Source organism: Homo sapiens, chromosome 3 (assembly GCF_000001405.40).
Source record: "Homo sapiens chromosome 3, GRCh38.p14 Primary Assembly".
In the NCBI taxonomy this organism is placed as follows: Eukaryota; Metazoa; Chordata; class Mammalia; order Primates; family Hominidae; genus Homo; species Homo sapiens.
In genome coordinates this window covers 139,609,037-139,628,246 of record NC_000003.12, presented here as the reverse complement: position 1 = coordinate 139,628,246, position 19,210 = coordinate 139,609,037, and the positions used below count along the sequence as shown (strand labels likewise).

Below are 19,210 nucleotides of genomic sequence, written 5' to 3'. Positions count from 1 at the left end.
TTTCCAATAAGTCTGAAATTGTTTCAAAATAAAAAGTGTTTTAAAAGTGCTAATCTACTCTAGGACCTTGTGAGATCTATTAGGACTACCAGAGATGGCACTACGGGAGTCTTCTAGCCCTCCTTCTGACCCCGTGGTGATCTGTCAGAGCTCAAGGAGGATATAGAGGTTCAGAATAGAACATGGGTTCTGGGATCAGGCTGCCTTGGTTCCAGTCCTGGCCCAGTAGCTTCTAAGGTCCCTGAGCTGTATGAGTAACCACTCAGGGTCGTTAAAAAGGACTTGGCAAGAGAAGGATACGCCTTGGCATAGCACTTGGCATACTTCATGGCCCATGGCCAACCCTCCTTAAACGTTGTTTTAATGGCCTCCTCAGTCATCTTACAAGTGAGAAGTAATGGTCTGTGTGTGGTTTAGAGAGACTGATCTGGATAATTGTCTCAGTGCTAACTCCCTGACATGAGCTTTTGTCCCCATAAAAGCAGGGTGGCCACTGCAACAGGTGTGGATGTGCCTGACAAGATGAAGAGCCGAATACCTGTGGTGCTCCTGGCCTGTGGCTCCTTTAACCCCATCACCAACATGCACCTGCGCATGTTTGAGGTGGCCAGAGATCACCTACACCAAACAGGTCAGTCAGGGGGCCCTGAGTCCAACAGAAGAACTGGTGGGTTAGGCTTCATGGGGCTTTTCTGGCTGCTGGCATCACTATTATTAAAACAGCTCAATTTATTCACAGCATAACTAGTGGCATATTTTTTTCATCATATTCAAAGGGTTGATGCTTATAGTCTTGTGACATATGTACAAGTCATACCCCTTGCCATAGAGCTGAACACATCTCAAGGTCTCCCCTCCCTGCCCACCTCACATTGGCAATGAACGACAACAGGCCCTCTACAGAACCTGTGCCACAATCAGGGCATCCTTCCTGGTACTCCCAACATCTACCTACACAGCCAGATGAATAGGTAGCATGTGCCTTAGAAAGCTCCTGATACTCTTCAGAGGGTAAGAAAATGCTTGATAATGGGCATTTTGACATTTTCTCATTTTAAAGAATAGATCTTAGATTATTACAAATTAATAATCTTGTATATAGGGCATTTCCAATACAGATGGCATGACTTTGACAGGAATATTTAATCAGCTGGAAATATATAATCTGAGGATATTTCACCTGCTTGACTTTCTATTTCATTATTAAAGGAGTAAAGTGACATTTGTAATCTGCATGATTGTTTCTAAAGAATATAAATAATGTATCTGTTGCTATCGAGTATATATGAAATTATTTACTTGTATATTTATGAATGTATTATGTATTCATATATGTATTTTGTGTTTCTATATTGTTTGTAAAAAGTTTGCCTTTAAGGACATTGTTTTTATACCAGAATCCATCCCTATTTACTTTTAACATAGCAAAAAGTATTTGAGTAACATGGAAATTATTTCTTCAAAGAAATAATGCACAAGTATTAGTTCATTTTAAAGGAAATGTCTTTATTTTAGAAACATATTTTTATTGAAAAAGTAAAAGTGATATCCTATTACTACCAGTAGGACTGTACTGGTAGTAATAGGATAAATTTTGAGGACAATTTGGTGTTCTGTGACAAAAGATTTAAAGTCTCTACCCATACTCAGAACAAAGAGAAAAATGAACCAATGGAAACCAAACCAGATTTGATGCAGATATTAGAATTAGCAGACAAAGACTTGAAAACAATTATTATAATTATGTGCTATATATTCAAGTTAAGTAGAGATATGGACAATATAAAAGGACCCAAGTCAAACATCTAGAATTAAATACTACAACCTGTTAGATGAAAAATACACTATAAAGAATAAAAAACAGATTAGACATTACAGAAGAAAAGATTAGTGAACTTGAAGATGTAATAATAGGAACTATCTAAAAATACAGGAAGAAAAAATTTTAAAAAAGAAAGAATAACAATGAGATACGGGAAAACTTGAAGCAGCTTAATATACTTGGAATTGGAATCCCAGAAGGGGAAAACAAAGGAAGAACTAGAAAAAATATTTGAAGAAATAATAACTGAAATTTCTCCAAATTTGATGAAAACCCACAGATCCAACTATCTGAACAAACTCCAAACACAAGAAACGTTAAGAAAACAACACTGAAAAATATAATAATCAAATCTCTCAAAAGCAGTAATAGTCAAAAGCAACCACAGAACAAAAATAAAGATGACAGCAGACATCTTGTTACTGAATTTACCAAAAGAGAATTTAGTGTAATAGCATTGTTAGAGAACTGAAAGAAAATACTGTCGACCTAGAATTCTATATCCATTCCATATCTGGCAAAAATATCTTTCAAAAACGAAAGCAAAGTAAAGGCATTTTCAGATATTCAAAAGCTGAAAGAACTCACCACCAGCAAACCTGCACTACAAAAAATGCTAAATTCTTCAGGCAGAAGGAAAATAATACCAAACAGAAGCATGGACCAACACAGGAATACAGAGCACTGGAAATGGTAACAACATAGGGCAATTATATAAGATTTCTTATTGATTTTCTTTAAAAGGTAATTAACAGTTTAAATAAAAATAACAATACATTGTGGGATTTATAACCTATGTAGAAGTAAAATATATGATAACACTAGAATAAAGCTGAGGGGGTAAAAGGGAAGTATACATAAAGTGGTATAACATCACTTAAAGATAGACTGTAAGAAGTTAAAGGTATGTTTTAAACTCTAATGCAACTGCTAAAATGAAGCAGTTATAGTTAATAAGCATACAGAGGAAGTAAAATAGAATTGGAATATACTCAGTTAATTCAAAAGAAGAAAAAGAAGAAACAGGGAACAAAAAACAGATGAGACAAATAGAAAACAACATAAGAGATTTAAACCTAACTATATCAATAATCACATTAAATATAAGTAGCCTAACAACTTCTGCAAAGAGGCAGACTGCCAGATTCAATAAAATAAGCAAGACCCAACTATAAATAAGAAGCATACTTTAACCATAGTAACCCAAATAGGTTAAAAGTAAGAGAACAGAAAACTGTCCTATGCTAACACTAATTAAAAGAAAGCTGAAGTGGCTATAGTAATACAGAGAAAGTAGATTTCAGAGGAATGAATATTACGTGGGATAAATAAGGTCATTTCATAATCACAAAGGGGTTAATTCTTTAAGCAGAAGTAATACGCTTTTTGCACTTAGTAATATAACTTCAAAATACATAAGAAGCAAAAACTTATAGAATTGCAAGGAGAAATAGACAAACCCACATTTAGAGTCAGCTATTTTAATGCTCTTCTCAGTAATTAATAGAATAAGCACACAGAAAATTAATAGAAGACTTGAACAACACTATTAAACAATTTGACCTAATTGACATTTATAGACCACTGCATCCTACATCACAGAATACACATCCTTCCCAAGGGCACACAGAACATTTACCAAAATAAGCCATATTCTGAACCATAAAAGAAGTCTCCGCATGGCGCGGTGGCTCATGCCCGTAATCCCAACACTTTGGGAGGCCAAGGTGGGTGGATCACCTGAGGTCAGGAGTTTGAGACCAGCCTGGCCAACATGGTGAAACCCCGTCTCTACTAAGAATACAAAAATCAGCCAGGTGTGGTGGCACACACCTGTAATCCCAGCTACTCAGAAGGCTGAGGCAGGATAATCGGCTTGAATCCGAGAGGCAGAGGTTGCAGTGAGCCGAGATCGTGCCACTGCACTCCAGCCTGGGGAGTGCAGCGAGACTCTGTCTCAAAAAAAAAAAAAAGTCTCAATAAATGTAAAAGAACTGAAGTAATACAAAGTGTATTCTCTGACCACAGTGGAATTACATTAGAAATCAATAACAGAAAGATCTCCGAAAGATCCCCAAATATGGAAATAAAATAACATACTTTGAAAAACTCATGGGTCACAGAAGAAATCAAAATGGAAATTAGAAAACATTTTGAACTCAATGAAAGTGAAAACAATATATAAAAAATTTAGGATGCCACTGAAATAGTACTTAAGAAGAGTTTTATAGCACGAAATATTATATTAGGAAAAAAAGGTCTCAAATCAATGATTTCAACTTCCACTTTAATAAACAAATGAACAGATGAAAAACAAAATAAGCAGAAGAAAACAAATACAATAATTTGCCACACTATGACATTTTAGCAAATAACAGACCATATGTATGACAGTGGTCTGATAAGATTGTAATGGAGTTGAAAAATTCCTATTGACCAGTGACGTTATAGCATCGTGGCTCAAGGCATTACTTGTGTTTGTGGTGACGCTGGTGTAAACAAACCTACTGCATAACTAATCATATAAAAGTCTAAAAAGTCTAGCATAGGCCGGGCATGGTGGTTCACACCTGTCCAGCACTTTGGGAGGCCAATGCAGGCAGATCAGGAGGTCAAGAGTTCAAGACCAGCCTGGCCAAGATGGTGAAATCCCATCTCTACTAAAAATACAAAAATTAGCCAGGCCTGGTGGCACGCACCTGTAATCCCAGCTACTTGGGAGGCTCAGGCAGGGAATTGCTTGAACCTGGGAGGCAGAGGTTGCAGTGAGCTGAGATTGAGCTACTGCACTCCAGCCTGGGCGACAGAGTGAGACTCTGTCTCAATCAATCAATCAATCGACCAATTAAGTCTAGCATATACTATTATATACAGTACATAATAATTGATAATGGTAATAAATGACTAAGTTACTGATTTATGTATTTACTATACTATACTTTTATCCTTATTTTAGAGTCTATTTCTTCTGTTTATTTAAAAAAAAAGTTAACTGTAAAAGAGCCTCAGGCAGCTCCTTCAGAAAGAATTCCAGAAGAAGGCATTGTTATCATAGATGACAGCTCCATGCATGTTTCTGCCCCTGCAGACCTTCTAGTGGGACAAGATGTGGAAGTAGAAGATGGTGATATTGATGATCCTGATCATGTGTAGGCCTTGGCTAATCTGTGTGTTTGTATCTTAATTTCTAACAAAATTTACAAAGTAAACATTTAAAAATAAAACTTACAGGATAAGGATATGAAGAAAAATATTTTTATACATCTGTACAATGTTTGTGTTTTAAGCTAAGTATAATTACAAAAGAATCCAAAAGTTTAAAAAGTTGTCAAGTTTATAAAGTAAAAAAGTTATAGTAAGCTAAAGTTAATTTATTATTGAAGAAAGAAAAATATTTTTAAAAATTTAGCGTAGTTTAAATAAACAGTGTTTATAAAGTCTATAGGAGTCTACAGTAATACTGTAGTCCTTCACATTTACTCACGCCTTGATTCACCCAGAGCAACTTCCAGTCCTGCAGCTCCATTCATGGTAAGTGCCCTATAAAAGTATACTGTTTATATATATATATATATAATATATATAATATATATTATATATCATATATACATTTTATATATATATCATATATATCATATATATATCATATATATGATATATATGATATATATACACACACACTTTTTTTTTGAGACAGAGTCTTGCTCTGTCACCCAGGCTGGAGTGCAGTGCCATGATCTCAGCTCACAGCAACCTCCACCTCCCATGTTCAAGCGATTCTCCTGTCTCAGTCTCCCGAGTAGCTGAGACTACAGGCATGCATCACCATGCCTGGCTGATTTTTTTGTATTTTTAGTAAAGATGGGGTTTCATCATATTGGTCAGGCTGGTCTTGAACTCCTGACCTTGTGGTCAGCCTGCCTCGGCCTCCCAAAGTGCTGGGATTAAAGGTGTGAGCCACCGTGCCTGGCGTGTTTATCTTTTATACCATGTTTTTTACTGTACCTTTTCTGTGTTTAGATATGTTTAGAACACTTCCCAAAAAAAATATACAATCGTCCATCAGGTATATGAAAAACTGCTAAACATTACTAATCATCAGAGAAATGCAAATCAAAACCAACAAGAAATATCATCTTACCCGGTCAGAATGGCTATTATTAAAATAACAAAAAATAGCCAATGTTGGTGATGATGCAGAGAAAAGGGAACTCTTGTAAACTATTGGTGAGAATGTAAACTAGAACAGCCATTATGAAAAACAGTATGGAGATATCTCAAAAAACTAAAAATATAACTACTATTTGATTCAGCAATCCCACTACAAGGTATCTACCCAAAGGAAAAGAAATCAATATATAAAAGGGATACCAGTACTCACATGTTTATTGCAGCACTATTCACAATAGCAAAGATATGGAATCAACCTAAGTGTCCATCAATGGATGAAGAGATAATGAAAATGTGGTATATATACATAATGGAATACTATTCTGCCACAAAAAAGAATGAAATCATGTCATTTACAGCAACATGGATGGAACTGGAGATCATTATCTTAAGTGAAATAAGCCAGACACAAAAAGATGGATCTCACTTATATGTGGAAGCTAAAAAATTTGAACACATGGAGGTGGAGAGTGGAAAGATAGTTAACGGAGACTGGGAAGGGTGAGTTAGGGAAGAAGCAGAAGGATGAAGAGAACTAGGTTAAAAGGTACAAACATGCAGTAAGACAGAAGGAAAAAATTCTGGCCAGGCATGGTGACTCATGCCTGTAATCCCAGCACTTTGGGAGGCCAAGGTGGGTGGATCACTTGAGGCCAGGAGTTGAAGACCAACCTGGCCAACATGGCAAAACCCTGTCTCTACTAAAAATACAAAAATTAGCTGGACATGGTGGTACACACCTGTAATCACAGCTACTCGGGAGGCAGAGGCATGAGAATCAGTTGAACCTGGGTGGCTTGCAGTGAGCCGAGATCATGTCACTGCACTTCAGTCCAGGCAACAGAGCAAAGCCCTGTCTCGACAAACAAAATAAAACAAAATAATAACCCAGTGAAAAACTGGGCCAAATATTTGAACAGACACTTCACCAAAGAAGACATATGGATGAAATATTAGTATATGGAAAGATGCTCAATAGCATTAGGGAAATGCAGATGAAGATCACGGTGAGATACCACTGGACCCCTATTAGAATGACTAAAATTAAAAATTGATTATACCAAGTATGGCTAAGGACCTGAAGCAATTGGAATTTTCATACACTGTTGGTGGGGATGTAAATAGTGGAATGGCTGTGGAAAATAACTTCGCAGTTTCTTAAAAGTTAAATATGGCCAATTGCATGGCTCATGCCTGTAATCTCAACACTTTGGGAGTCTGAGGTGAGAGGATGGCTTGAGCCCAACCTGGGCGACATAGCAAGATCCTATCTCTACAAAAATTGGAAAAAAAAATAGCCAAGCATTGCAGTACATGCCTGTGGTCCTAGCTACTCAGGATGCTGAGGCAAGAGGATTACATGAGTCTAAGAGTTCAAAACCATAGTGAGCTATGATTGCACCACTGCACAATGTCATAGATGACAGCTCCATGCGTATTTCTGCCCCTACAGACCTTCTAGTGGGACAAGATGTGGAGTTATAAGACGGTGATATCAGGACAACAGAGTGACATCCTGTCTCAAAAAAAAAAAGTTAAATGTGTGTTTACTATATTACTGTATGATTCAGCCATTCTATTTCTATTTACACAAGAGAAATGAAAGCAAATGCAAATACTTGTGCATGAATGTTCAGAGCAGCTTTAATTATAGTAGCCTCAAACTGGAAATAAGCCAAATATCCATCAACATGTGAATAGTTAAACAGATTGTGGTTTATGCATACAACGGAATAGTATTCAGCAATAAAAAGGAATGAACCAGCAGTAGACATGAATTTTGAAATAATTATGCTAAGTGAAAAAAGTCAGACCAAAAAGAGTATATAGTATATGAATTCTGTTTACATAAAATTCTAGAAAATATAAATTAATCTACAGTAAGTGCAAAAAGAGAGGATAATGGTTATGTTCATTATCTTACTTGTGGTGTGGGTTTCAGGGGTATATACGTATGTCAAAACCTATCAAATATACCCTTTAAAGATATGCACTTTATTGTGTGTCAGTTATACCTCAGTAAAAAACATCAAACTTTAAAAAAAAAAAAAAAAGACTCCACAAGGTTGCTTCAGTTATACATAAGATACAATACATTCTTTAGGGCAAAAGACACAACAAATAAATAGTAAGAGAAATTGGAAACTATAAAATTCCACAGAGATTTAGAAGACGTATAAACTAAATACCATATATGGACCTTATCTGAATCCTGATTCAAACAAATCAAATATCAAATGATATTCATGAGGGAGTTGGAGAAATTTGAAGACTGGCTGGATATTAGATGGTATTTAAAAATTATTGTTTAAATGTTTTCAGGCCAATAATGTTATTGCTGCTGTGTTAAAATAAAATGTGTCCTTATCTCTTAGGAAAAAATTTTGTACCCTTAGTCTAGCAGGGGGAGAAAGGATGTATTCCCTGTATAGCTGAAAATAGTGAGCAGAATAACGTTAAAGTTATTTTGAGGGTATATAACTTCCTCTTGGCTTGATAAAACATAGGCTTGACTGTTAGCCACTGAGTGCCTTTTCCTGCCAACCTTCACTTGTCAGAAAGGCCCCTGGCATCTTGGGTGTTGTCTTTGTTGTGAGATTTACCAGGGGGCAGGGCTTGTACTCTACTTTGTAGAATGAGCTGCTTCTCAGACAGGTCTACCTACACACTGTATTAAGACACTTGATGGACTTGCAGGCTCTCCTTTAGCCTCAGGAGAAGCTTTGGCATGGCCCAGTGAGATTTCAGAGAGTACTCCTGGTCCCCAAAGGCCATGATAACCACAGCGTACATAGATAATTGATCACACTGGATACATTATATGTTTATATTATATATAATTTCTGTCATTTGGAATACTAGTAGGTAGAGGGGTTTTGGTCACATATGACCTCAATCACCCTCTTGCCTTTATTTTCAGTCCTCCCTCCCTGGAAAGTACTTGGTCATTTTTGAGAGTTCAGAATGGACTCTTCTACCTATGTTAGTGTTGTACATTGGGTTGCCACCTTTCAACATTCCACAGATATTTACTGCATCTTCCAAGCACTATTGCTGAAAATAGAGTTGGTTAAATTGCATCCCCTACCCAAAAGGATTACACAGCATAGGTGGTGACAGACCTACCACATGGTAGCAGGTGATTGTGGCGCTAGGTGCAAAGGAAGGGCATCTTCCACCTGGAGTTAGGGAAAATTCCCTGGAGGAGGTTTAGCCAGGCACAGTTTAGGCAGCATATATGCACAGAAAGCAGCATGGGTAAAACCCGGCAGTGGAGGAGAATCACGTTCCAGTGCACGGGAGAAACATAAGGCTGACAAGATGGGGAGGACTCAGGCATAGAGATGAGGTTGATAAAGGAGAATGGACCCACTTGCCACCATGAGAGTATGTGGAGTGAATTTTCCTTCTCTGCACAGCCAGGCATCACCCACTGCTACCCACAGCCAGCTGATCTGTGCACCGAGCCATAACCCGAACCATCTTCTTTCCAAGGACAGATAATTTAAACAGTGCCTTTATTCTCCATCTGAATCAACTCATGATTAAGTCTGAATGAAACTTTGGTCCCAAGCTTTCTTTTTTCATTAAGAAAAGTAAATCTTTCTTCCGTGGGTGTATTTTCACTAAAACAATTCACAATTTTCATTCAATATTACTTGCATATAAATCAAATTAAGCTGAAACAGTTTGTTTAGTAACTTTAAATAGAAATTAATAGTATCTTCCTGGTTTGCTGCAGTAGCACTAACTACTTTTGGGCCTTGCACTCTTTCCCCTTTCACAAGCATTCCTTCTTCAAACTACAATTGTCCTTCCTTTGTTGATTTCTTCCTTTTTCTCCTGAAATAACAACATAACCTTAAAAGCTGACAGAGACACTATAATATATCAAAACTTTTAACTATCTTTAGTCCTGTGATAACACACCTCTTTATGAGGAAAAAAGTGTGCATTATATAAAAAGGAACTTACGTCTGTAGATTTCATTGTTAATAATACACTGCCAAAGTCATCCGTGCTCAAGAGACAAAATGTTGAACCCAGCTGTTTTTTTCACACTCCTTTACTTGAAAGAATGTTTGGGAATTAGATATAGGCTGGTACAATTGTGTGTTATCTGTGGATTTTCTCTACTTTACAGTGTGGTTCTTTAATCATGGGTACATCTTTGCCTTGTGTCACGTGCTATGCAAGTTGTCACAGAGAAGATTCTCAAAGGCTTGATGGATGAATTTGTGTAGTGGATGTGGGTGGTTTTAAAAAGTTCATTTGGAATTTTTATTCCTATTTTGCTGATTTTTGACAGAAAATGATTCAGCACAACATATGACTAGTCAGTAGCTTTGGACATACCTAAAGCATTCATTGAATATTTAAGAATTTAAGCCTGCATTTCTCTTAAGATGTTGGATGTATTCCCAGTTGTAAATGCTTGTTTTCCCAACGTGTAAGTAAGTTTCCCAACAAACTTACTAATAGAGATTGAATTACATTTAAATTCTGTTTACTGTTATTGAGACAGTTAGTTACTTCTAATCAATATAACTTAATTATTGGCCTGTATTTCAGCAATAATCCACGTGTGTTTATTTTAAATCGAACTTTGTCAGTTAATACTTATTTAGTTAACAACTATTTAGCACTTGTTTATTTTCTGTATTTAACAAACACTTATGTCATCCTTTCTGTTTGCCACGTAGTGCTCTAAGTGCATTACATGAACTCATTTAATTTTCATAACAGCCCTACCAGGTGGGTACTGCTATTCTCCCTATTTTACAGATGAGGAAGCTGAGGCTAAGGCTCAGAGAGATTGAATAACTTGCCTGAGATCACACAGCCAGAAAGTACTAGAGCCAGTTTGCCTCAGAATCCATGCACATAACCACCATGCCATGCAGCCTCCATTCATTCACCTTATCTTTTATTGCGTGTCCACCTGTGTTGGGTGTTGTACTCGATGCAAGGATACATGGGAGCAGAAGTAGCCTCTGTGGTTCTGGAATAGACAAACACTAACTGAATCCCACAGAGACAAAAATTACCAAGGTGACATATGCCACTCAGGGGGACGCTCCCAGTGCCATCAGTGTGAACAGTGTGACATTCTAATGCAGACAGAGGGTCCAGAGAAGGTTTTTCTGAGAATGTTAAGGACTGAGCTGGAGGAGAATGATGAGGTACTTCTTAAGTTAAAGGTGAAGTTCGCTGGAGTCAGGGGATTCAGAAAAAGAACATTCTTGGCTTAAGAAAGTGCATATGCAAAGACTCTGTATTGGAAGAGAACGTGGCCACTGAGGAGTGACCAGGAGGCACAGAGCAAAAGGACATGTTGCAGTAGGTAAAGCAAGAGACACAGAAAGAGGCAAACCATGACAGCCTTGCAGGCCATTTGTGAAAAATGTGCTTTTTAATCCTAGAGCTGTGAGAGGATGAGAATATATGCGTCCACCCTGCAGCACATACACACACACACAGAGAGAGAGAAGAGTGGATGAAGAGAAACCAGTTCAGAGGGAGTTGAAGCAATATTTTTGATGAGAGGGTGACAATGGCAATAAACAGAAGTTGACAGTGAAGGTATAATTAGAAGGTAAAATTGACCTGGTAATGGATTGAATGTGAGGAAGAGAGAGTGCTACCCACTAGAAAGAGAGAGTCCTGAAGGAGGGCCAGATCTGGGGAACAGACAAGTTTACCTTCACACTTGCTGAGTTTGAGAGACCTATCAGAATACAAGACTGGAGAGAGACATTTATGAGTGACCTGTAGGTAATAAATGAAGGTATCCTTAGGGGTAAATGAGATCACAGAGAGAGTGAGAGAGACCTGTAAGGAGAGACGAGCCCTGAGGAGCCCCAGGCTTTGACAGCCTTACAAAGGAGAATCGGCTTACAAAGAAGTTCAAGAAGACCCAAGAAATAGGAGGAACCAGAGTAGTTTCTGTCACAGAAGACAGAAAAGATGAAGGATCCCCAGCATTAAGTGTTAAGAATTTAGTATTGGAGTTAGATGAAGACTGAAAAATCACATCTGTGCAGTTCAGCAATGTAGATGTCTGGGAGAATGGCTTTGTTGGTGATATCTGGGAGAATGGCTTTGTTGGTGATATCTAGGAGAATGGCTTTGTTGAAGCAGTGGTATTGACAACTGGATTGGCTATGCATTCAGGAGAGACTAGGAGAAGAGGAGATAGAGGTGGCTAGTAGCAACAGTCCTCTTGTGAATGGCAAGGACCCAGGTAAAGTGAGGTTGAATGTATAAGAACAAGGAGAGATTATTTGTCATAATAACAAGGGGAGACAATTGAGACAAGCAGCCCTGGGGGAGCATACATGCCCTGTCCAGAAGGGAGAGTGGCCATGCCTTCTAATTTCCCACACAAGAAGCTAGAAATAGGAATTTTCATGTTTGAAAGATTGTTGATGGCTGCATTGCTTGCAACTGCAAAATATGGAAAACAAAATATTAAACTCTAAACAAATATTCTACTCTAATAAGTAGATTTCTTTTTCCTGATACACACGCTAGCATTCTGAAACTACTTTCTGTGTATACTAGCATTGAGCAATAAGTACATATCTTATAGATAATGGAAGTCACGCATCTCACTGTTGGAGAAAGAAGCTACAAATGTGGACAGAGAGAAGTTACAAATGTCCTGTGATATGGGATTGGAATTAAAGGTATCAGGGTGAACTCATGAATAGATAAGATAAAAAGGATAGATACAGTGGGTGGGTCGGTGGGTGGGTAGATGGATAAATGGATGGATGGGTGGGTGGATGGATAGATAGATAGATAGATAGATAGATAGATAGATAGATAGATAGAAAATGTGTGTGGATATTTATATAGATACACATACAACGCTATCTTAGCCCTGTCTGCTGAGAGAGCCTAGAAATAGTTGTACCCCAGTAGCCATAATATAAACCAGCATCCTAATTTTGGTTTCTAAGTACCATTTTATACTAAAAGAGCTCCTTAGAAAAATGGTTGAATCTGGGGCTGGGGATGGAAAATACAAGATAAACTTGGAACATTTTGTGGTACCAAAAAGTAAGGAAGTGTTCAAAGAATGGCACATGTCAAAGGGACACTACAGCCAATGTAAGGTCTCCCACCAATAAAATCTGAGGACAACTTGAACATAAAAACAAATAATAAGGGATTATAACTCATTTAATACATTTACAGTCTATGAGTCTAAACTGATTTAAAACCAATAAATATATTGGTTAATTAAATGAACAAACAAATGCAAAAAAGGGGAAGGCTCTTTCTTACAGTAGAATGCCAATGCAGGAGGAATAGTGTAATCAGAAAACCACCATTTAGCAACCATCCAAATAATTGATTTATGCAAGAATCACTAATGAATCTTAATACTAGCAGGTTGAAATAACAAGATATGTACACGGTCACCAAGTAACTCCTGACAATAGACTGATTAATTCCACAGGAAAAAATATCTTTACAGCTGAGAAATGTAGCAGATACAACCTTAACCAAGTGATCAAAGCTAACACCACCAATATGGGACATAATGACCTCATGTATGTTGTGATATGATGCACCGAGGAGGGTCCACCCCAACTTCTGTGCTGGTTCTGCCAGAAGGGCGTACCCTGTACCTCCTCCTGAGGAAACATCAGACAAGCCTAAAGTGAGGGACATTCTGCAAAATAATTGGCCTATACAAAATGTCAGTGTCATGAAAGACAAACTAAAGAGCTATTCCAGAAGAAAGCAAGCTAAAGAGAACCCAGGTCTGTGGGCCCAAGGCCAGTGTCTCTCTCACTGCCTTGTGCTCAGAGAGGCAACAGTAGGTTTCTATGAGGCCTCCTCAATGGGCAAGTCCCAAACACAGATTTGGTGAGAGCAGAGAGTCTGGTAGACTAGCAGAAAGTAGGGAAGTAGTCAGGGTTTGATCGTGGAGTCTGAAATGCCTGATAAGGAATGGGGACTTTAGGTGAAAGGGACACATTGAAAGTTTTTTTTTTTTTTAGTAAAATATCATAAATGTATACATACACATCTAAAGGCAAATTGATATTTTAAATTTCATCAGTCTTTACAGTTGCTATTCTAGCATCTCTTTTTATTATTATTATTATACTTTAAGATTTAGGGTACATGTGCACAACCTGCAGGTTAGTTACATATGTATACATGTGCCATGTTGGTATGCTGCACCCATTAACTCGTCATTTACATTAGGTATATCTCCTAATGCTATCCCTCCCCCCTTCCCCCACCCCACAACAGGCCCTGGTGTGTGATGTTCCCCTTCCTGTGTCCATGTGTTCTCATTGTTCAATTCCCACCTATGAGTGAGAACATGCGGGTGTTTGGTTTTTTTGTCCTTGCGATACTTTGCTGAGAATGATGGTTTCCAGCTTCATCCATGTCCCTACAAAGGACATGAACTCATCATTTTTTATGGCTGCATAGTATTCCATGGTGTATATGTGCCACATTTTCTTAATCTAGTCTATCATTGTTGGACATTTGGGTTGGTTCCAAGTCTTTGCTATTGTGAATAGTGCCGCAATAAACATACGTGTGCATGTGTCTTTATAGCAGCATGATTTATAATCCTTTGGGTATATACCCAGTAATGGGATGGCTGGGTCAAATGGTATTTCTAGTTCTAGATCCCTGAGGAATCACCACACTGACTTCCACAATGGTTGAACTAGTTTACAGTCCCACCAACAGTGTAAAAGTGTACGTATTTCTCCACATCCTCTCCAGCACCTGTTGTTCCCTGACTTTTTAATGATTGCCATCCTAACTGGTATGAGATGGTATCTCATTGTGGTTTTGATTTGCATTTCTCTGATGGCCAGTGATGATGAGCATTTTTTCATGTGTCTTTTGGCTGCATAAATATCTTCTTTTGAGAAGTGTCTGTTCATATCCTTCACCCACTTTGTGATGGGGTTGTTTGATTTTTTCTTGTAAATTTGTTTGAGTTCATTGTAGATTCCGGGTATTAGCCCTTTGTCAGATGAGTAGATTGCAAAAATTTTATCCCATTCTGTAGGTTGCCCGTTCACTCTGATGGTAGTTTCTTTTGCTGTGCGGAAGCTCTTTAGTTTAATTAGATCCCATTTGTCAATTTTTGCTTTTGTTGCCATTGCTTTTGGTGTTTTAGACATGAAGTCCTTGCCCATGCCTATGTCCTGTATGGTATTGCCTAGGTTTTCTTCTAGGGTTTTTATGGTTTTAGATCTAACATTTAGGTCTTTAATCCATCTTGAATTGATTTTTGTATAAGGTGTAAGGAAGAGATCCAGTTTCAGCTTTCTACATATGGCAAGCCAGTTTTCCCAGCACCATTTATTAAATAGGGAATCCTTTCCCCATTTCTTGTTTTTGTCAGGTTTGTCAAAGATCAGATAGTTGTAGATATGTGGCATTATTTCTGAGGGCTCTGTTCTGTTCCATTGGTCTATATCTCTGTTTTGGTACCAGTACCATGCTGTTTTGGAAAGTCTTTAACCAACTCGCTCACCATGTGCTTACTAGGCCATGGGAGGAGCCTTAGCAAGGAATCTTCAGACACCCTGTGGAAAAGCAACTGCTAGAATCTCTCAGCAACCTGATTCTCAGCCCAGATCCTCATCCAGTGATAGGACTTGCTGACTCTGAGCATTCAGGCCCACTTCACCAGAAGAGGGATGCATGCATTTAGACTACCTGCCTGCAACCTGGTCCAAATGCATACTGGAATGCATGCAGAATACAGGGAGAATACAACTCCATTTGCCTGCAGCCTGGTCCAGCATACATTTCCCACCTCATTGCCAAGGTGATCTTGTGACACCTTGTCAAATGCCTGGATAAGGTTCTGTATTCATGGCTGTTGCTTGCCTGCTCATCTGGAAACTCTACCGAGTAGGAAAATGACTTATTCTGAGTGAACTCTTGCTAGCCATGAGCAGTCCTCTCTTTTTCGAAGCAATCAGAAACTATCAGTTTTAGACTCGGTTCCCTGATTTTGCTCTAGTTCACGTTCAGAGTCCCAAACTATGGTCTCCAGAATGTATCCTCTATGCATTTTTTTTTTTTTTTTGAGACGGAGTTTTGCTCTTGTTGCCCAAGCTGGAGTGCAATGGCACAGTCTCGGCTCACCGCAACTTCTGCCTTCCGGATTCAAGCAATCCTCCTGCCTCAGCCTCCCAAGTAGATGGGATTACAGGCATGCGCCACCACACCTGGCTAATTTTGTATTTTTAGTAGAGACAGGGTTTCTGCATGTTGGTCAGGCTGGTCTCGAACTCCCGACCTCCGGTGATCCGCCCGCCTCAGCCCCACAAAGTGCTGGGATTACAGGCGTAAGCAACCACGTCCAGCCCCCCTCTATTGTTTTTTTATGATCGACTCAACAGATACCCCCAGAAAGAAGAGTACTAGTTCTCTTGATTTGTGGAGCAGAAATGGGCACAGATGTGCTGTCAGCCAAATCTCTGTCCTGTCACGGGCAGGATACAGGAGGCCATGCCTGGCAGCCTGCCAACACAAAGCCCCCCACCCAGCCCTGGCTCACTGCCCAGCTAAGCTTAGCTCTCACTTGGTTGCTCCTGGGTCTTGGGATTCTCTTCTCTATCTCTGCTTTCCCTTAGATGCCACAACCCACAAAAGAAAGAACTGCAGAATTTTGGTGAACTTCAGAGGGCGCATGCTCCCCTCCTTGTGACCATGGTGTCACAGAAAGAGATCACTAGGTTTGGAGTCAAATTTTGGTGTCAAACTCACTTGCTGTATGACCTTGAACAATTTACCCCATCTCTCTAGCTTGTGTTTCCTCAATTGTGAATTAGGAATAATATATCCTCATCATACAGGGTTATTTATTTTAAGGATTAAATATGATGATCTACATAAACTGTCTAGCCCATGCAATATATGTTTGGTCTCTTTTCTTGCATCCTGAGTGGGCCCCAACTCAACACTTCGTTAAAGCATCTCCTATTCCTGTGGCCATGACCAGACAGGTTAACATAATACTCTTATAACTATGCATGGAAGAAAGAAAGCCTCAAGACAGTTTCTCCTGTTTTCTTTTAGACCTTTCTTGATTCTTTATGATGTTATTTCCTAACGATCCTGCCCCACGTGCTTGTGGCATCCCAGATTAAATTGCATCGTAAAGATAACAACCCAGTCCAAAGCCTTGTCCTTTTCTTAACACCACCACCCCCCCCATCCTCACCAACTTTGGACAACCTTGAGGAGAGGAAAGGTATTTTATGGCTCCCAGTTTTTCCTCTCAGTGACTTGCATTTTAAATTGAAGTATATTTATTGTAATATCATTTACACCAGCAATTTTCTGTGTTAAATAAAAATGTCTTATCAGTGTCCAATGTGATGTATATCACTTTTGCTACCTTGGTGATTTTAATTTGAATTCTCTATTGCACAGTGAATATGGAGAGAATTAAATGCATATGATAAGGTGGTGCAGTACAATCTGAGATAAGGGGGAAATTAAGCTATGATAATTCTATTTAAGGCAGTGACAGCCCCAGTTCTGGGTCTTCTGGGCTTTAGGAGATACCACAAGAGCATGAGTAAATATTATATAAGCTCAGCATGTTGCTTTAATCTTGGGCTCACACGGATGTTTATTAATCAAATATAGTGATTTTAATATATATTCATGGAAAATTCTCCAGCCTGGTCTGAAAAACTATTCATTTTCACATTTCTAACTTAAAAGATTTTTCTGGAGAAGATAGTTTTAAGAATGTTGAATTACTCCAACAATTGTTTTGAACCAAGATAATTTTTTTTCATATCATGTGAGGCTTCAAGGATTTGAGGCTACACATGTTAGATTCCAAATTCTTTTAAAATGCTTTCCTGATTTAATAACAAACAGCATTTTCCTTCTTTTTAATATGTCTATCTTGAGATATGGTTTAAATGAAACAGATCTTGAAAGGGTCTCTGAGAAGGAAATTTTCATGGCATGTCCTCTAGCACCAGACTTGACTGCACCAGGTCAGGGGATAAACAGCACTTTGCAGATGAGTGTGCTTTATTTTGAGGCCCTCAGACACTTCATGAGACCCCTGTATTCTGGAATTCACTGCCTCACTACTGCTGATATACACAATGCTATGAAAAATGGGGAACCATTACTCATATATTTGCTAATTATGATACCTCTCACCTCTTCCCCTCTTTTCCCATCCTCTTCTCTTTTCCCCCAACCAAATAAAAAACTAAAACAAATACATATATTTGTTTTATTTTTTGCTTATTTAGTTTTACTGTCTTATTCCTTAATGTGTGCACCTGTAGTCTCAGCTACTCTGGAGGTTTAGGCAGGAGGATCGCTTGAGCCCAGGAGTTCTGGGCTGTAGTGCACTGTGCTGATCCACTAAGTTCTGCATCAGTATGGTGACCTCCTGGGAGTGGGGGACCACCAGGTTGCCTAAGGAGTGGTGAACAGGTCCTGGTTAGAAACAGAGCAGGTGAAAACTCCTGGGCTGATTAATAGTGGGATAGCACTTGTGAATAGCCACTGCACTTCAGCCTGGGCAACATAGCAAGATTTTGTCTCTTAAAAAAAAAACAAGTAAGTTGCAAACCACATATCCGACAAGGGACTAGTGTTTAGAATATCTAAAGAACTTTAAAAATTTAACAAAACACAATCAGGAAATGAACAAAATACATGAAGAACCATTTCACGAAGAGGATACACAGATAGCGGATAAGCACATGAGAAAATATTTAACAACATTAACAATTAGGGAAATGCAACGTAAAACCCACAATAAGATATTACTACACACCTGCCAAAATGGCTAAGATAAAAAATGGCAACACCATCAAATTTTGGAAGGAATGCCGAGAAACTGCACCTCTTATAATTGCTGGAGGGAATTTAAAATGGCACAGCCACTCTGGAAAGCAGTTTGGCAGTTTCTTGTAAAACTAAACATGCAATTGCCATATGACCCAGCAGTTGCACTCACAGGCATTTATCCCAGAGAAATGAAAACTTGTGTTCACACAGAAACCTGTACACAAACGTTCATCACAGTTTCATTTACAATAGCCAGAAACTAGAAACCACCCAAATGTCCTTCAAGGGGCGAATAATTAAACTGTGATACATCCATACCATAGACTACTCCCCAGCAATAAAAGAAACAAATCATTCGTGCAACAACTTGGATGATCTCCAGGG

The 19,210-nt window shown here is 38.6% G+C and overlaps 1 protein-coding gene and 1 pseudogene across 23 annotated transcripts in view; both read left to right on the top strand.

Moving 5' to 3' along the window:
* NMNAT3 (nicotinamide nucleotide adenylyltransferase 3) overlaps positions 1 to 19,210 on the top strand; it is a 117,871-nt gene that overhangs the window by 49,804 nt on the left and 48,857 nt on the right. For 13 of the 23 annotated variants that reach the window (NM_001401612.1, NM_001401602.1, NM_001401605.1 and 10 more), the window contains one exon: positions 483 to 631. The exons of 3 other annotated variants lie outside the window; for them this stretch is intronic. In NM_001401612.1, coding sequence (NP_001388541.1) covers positions 523 to 631 — 109 coding nt within the window. In that variant the 5' untranslated portion in view covers positions 483 to 522. 23 annotated transcript variants of the gene reach the window in all.
* On the top strand, positions 18,308 to 18,578 carry RN7SL724P (RNA, 7SL, cytoplasmic 724, pseudogene; annotated as a pseudogene).